Genomic DNA, 3,087 nt, shown 5'->3' on the forward strand with positions numbered 1-3,087 from the left:
TCCCAGGACACCATCCTGCCTTCCCAGGGGATGCAGCCAAAGGTATTCAACAGAGCTATTTGCTGTAACATAGCTGTGATTCTCTGCAGAGAGTGCTGGGTGGATTGGCTGTGAATTTTGCCTCCCTTGCTTCCAAATGAAATAATCAAATGCATTGGCATCCTCATCCATGGGGTTCTCAAGTATATCATCCAAATGCTTTTTGTAAAAAGATGAGAGACCCAGTAAAGAGCCTGCTGCTGGTGGGCTTGGGTATACAGCAAATGCTAGCCAAGTGGTTAAGAGTACAAAATATTTGCTAAGCTAATAGTACTGCCTAGCTCTGTAGCTACCATCAGAATTAAACAAAGAGATAGGCCACTGCATTTCAACAGAATCACCTATGGAGCTTGAAAACATATGCATGTCTGGTCACCACCCACAGATATTCTGATTCCATTGGTATTTTAAACGAGCTTCCCGTGCTATTCTGATGCACAGTCAGGCTTTGGAATCTGTGATCTAGTCTATGGATCATTTGAGTCATCAGAACTTGAATAAGAATTGCTTTCTTTGGATACATCTTTTCTTTATCACATCAAATCAATCTCCCCCCAACCCCCACCTTCCCTCTCCCTTTTTCTCTAGCAGTCAGAAATTCTTAAAAGCTTTTTGCCACTAAACCATCTGCTGGAGAAATCTCCCACTAGGTTTCAAATGCCAAACCTTTCCCAGTAGCAATTTTCTTTATTATTTTGGGGGAAAAGAATGCATTACATTTCTTCCCTATGAAATAAAGTACTTTAAAAATAAAAATGTTCATTATGGAACCATAGCAGTTGCTTATATTTTAAAAAAGAAAATAGCTGTATTAGACATGTGTCCTGGGAGTTTACTCCAGGCTTCCTTCACAGGCTTGATTCGGACTTCAAGGACAGGAAGTGTGGCTGATCATAGCACCACGATGCCCCGGTGAAGAGCAGTCACATAGAGAATGGAGATTAATTTCAGTCAAAGAATAGTAGGATGCTTTCTTGGCTTCCCGATGCCCACAAGCTTTATGGCAGCAGACCACGCTTAAAGCCTAATTTAAAGGTTTATGTAGGTTATAACCTTGTCACACTGCATAATCCCCTCCCAGTTCGAAGTCTTTACCCATTGGCATAAAAACCTATATCCTGTGACAGGGAACAGGAGTGTTAAGAGACTTGGAAAGAATAGGCTGGATGTGGTGGCTCACACCTGTAATCCCAGCACTTTGGGAGGCCAAGGCAGGAGGAATGCTTGAGGCCAGGAGCTTGAGACTAGCCTGGGCAACATAGCAAGACCTGAACTCTCTAAAAGAAAAAAAATAGCTAGGCATAGTGGCACCCGTCTGTAGTCCCAGCTAGTTGGGAGACTAAAGGAGGTGGATTGATTGAGCCCAGGAGTTCAAGGCTGCAGTGAGCTCTGATCCCACCATTGCACTCCAGCCTGGGTGACAGAGTGAGATCCTGTCTATTAAAATAAATACATCTGAAAATGTTGTGTTTTTTTTTCTTTTTTGAGACAGAGTCTCACTCTGTCACCCAGGCAGGAGTGCAGTGGCACAATCTCAGCTCACTGCAACCTCCACCTCCCAGGTTCAAGCAATTCTCCTGCCTCAGCCTCCTGAGTAGCTGGGACTACAGGCATGCACCACCACGCCCGGCTAATTTTCATATTTTTAGTTGAGGCAGGATTCACCATGTTGCCCAGGCTGGCCTTGAACTCCTAACTTCAAGTGATCCACCTGCCTCGGCCTCCCACAGTGCTTGGATTACAGGTGTGAGCCATGGCGCCTGGCCTGGAGATTTCTTAAGAGTCTCATTAGATGATTTTCTAATTCTAAGTAGAAGATCATCTGAGTCCTTTGCAATTCATTGGCTGTGGCAGATGACTAGCTATCCACGAAAAATTCCTGATCCCCTTTCTACAGCATGAAGTGGTTGCTGTGAGGCAACTTCTAGGCCAGCAATGCCATTTCCCAGTTTCCCTCACATCAGCAGGGAGTCATGTGATTAGTTCTCATCACAGGAACACGAGCAGAAGTGATGTGTGTTACCTCTGGGTTAGCTTTACTTATTTATTTATGTTTTGTGAGAGTTTCTCTTCTTTTTTTTCCCCCCAACTTTTATTTTAGAGGTACATGTGCAGGTTTATTGTAAAAGTGTATTGTGTGATGCTGAAGTTTGGAGTACAAATGAGTCTGTCACCCAGGTAGTGAGGATAGTACCCAATAGGTAGTTTTTCAAATCTTGCCCCACTTCGCCCCTCCTCCATTTTGTATTCCCCAATGTCTGTTGTTCCCATCTTTACGTCCATGTGTTAGGTCAGGATTTTTTTTTTTTAAGAAGTGGGTACCCTCTTTCCTTCTTTATTTCTCTTTCCTTCTCTGCCAGCGGAGTGCAGATAATCCCAAAGCTTTAGGGAAAAGTGGAACTGTAAGATGGAAAGAGCCTGGGTCCCTGAATCACTGTGTGGAAGAAAGTTGCCTGTTGATCAGATACACCCCCACTGTGCTTTATGTGCATGAGAAATAAGCAAAACCACTGGAATTGGAGGGATTTTCTTATGACGTTGGTTTGGATCACCCTCATTAACCATACACTGACCAATCATCAGGATACTGAAGACTTTCATCTGGCTGGAGGCACTTTGGCTTCCTGACACAGGGAAGCTGCTAAGAGCAAAGATGGTTTCTAATGTCTGGCACGAAGCATATGGGATGGGTAAAGAGTTTTTGTCCTGTGACAAACATTCTAGGTGAAAAGGGAATAATATTTGTTATCAGAAAAGAGTAGATAAAAATATTAAGGATGAGAGAGGTCTGTAAAAGCCATGCCCATTGTGACAAACAGGCAGACAAATAATTTCTGCCCCTTAAGATGGGAGAGTATTTCTCACCCCAGTCCTGTTCAAGCCTCCAGTAATAGGCTCTGTATTGTCCAAGCACTAACCATGCAGTGACAATTGTGGTAGTAACCAGGGAGGAGGATCCCTTTGCAAATAACATGTATCAATAGCAGTAAATAGGGCCAGAATGCAGTGGCGCGATCATAGCTCACTGCAGCCTCGACCTCCAGGCTC

The 3,087-nt window shown here is 43.9% G+C and overlaps 2 annotated features.

Moving 5' to 3' along the window:
- Positions 1-557: an enhancer, noted in NCBI's record as "OCT4-NANOG-H3K27ac hESC enhancer chr16:22646396-22646952 (GRCh37/hg19 assembly coordinates)". NCBI's record gives its function as "activates a minimal SCP1, AML or CMV promoter by ChIP-STARR-seq in primed H9 embryonic stem cells {active_cell/tissue: H9 hESC(primed)}" and the evidence as "EXISTENCE:reporter gene assay evidence [ECO:0000049][PMID:30033119]".
- Positions 558-1,113: an enhancer, noted in NCBI's record as "OCT4-NANOG-H3K27ac hESC enhancer chr16:22646953-22647508 (GRCh37/hg19 assembly coordinates)". NCBI's record gives its function as "activates a minimal SCP1, AML or CMV promoter by ChIP-STARR-seq in primed H9 embryonic stem cells {active_cell/tissue: H9 hESC(primed)}" and the evidence as "EXISTENCE:reporter gene assay evidence [ECO:0000049][PMID:30033119]".

This window comes from Homo sapiens, chromosome 16 (assembly GCF_000001405.40).
Source record: "Homo sapiens chromosome 16, GRCh38.p14 Primary Assembly".
Taxonomy (NCBI): Eukaryota; Metazoa; Chordata; class Mammalia; order Primates; family Hominidae; genus Homo; species Homo sapiens.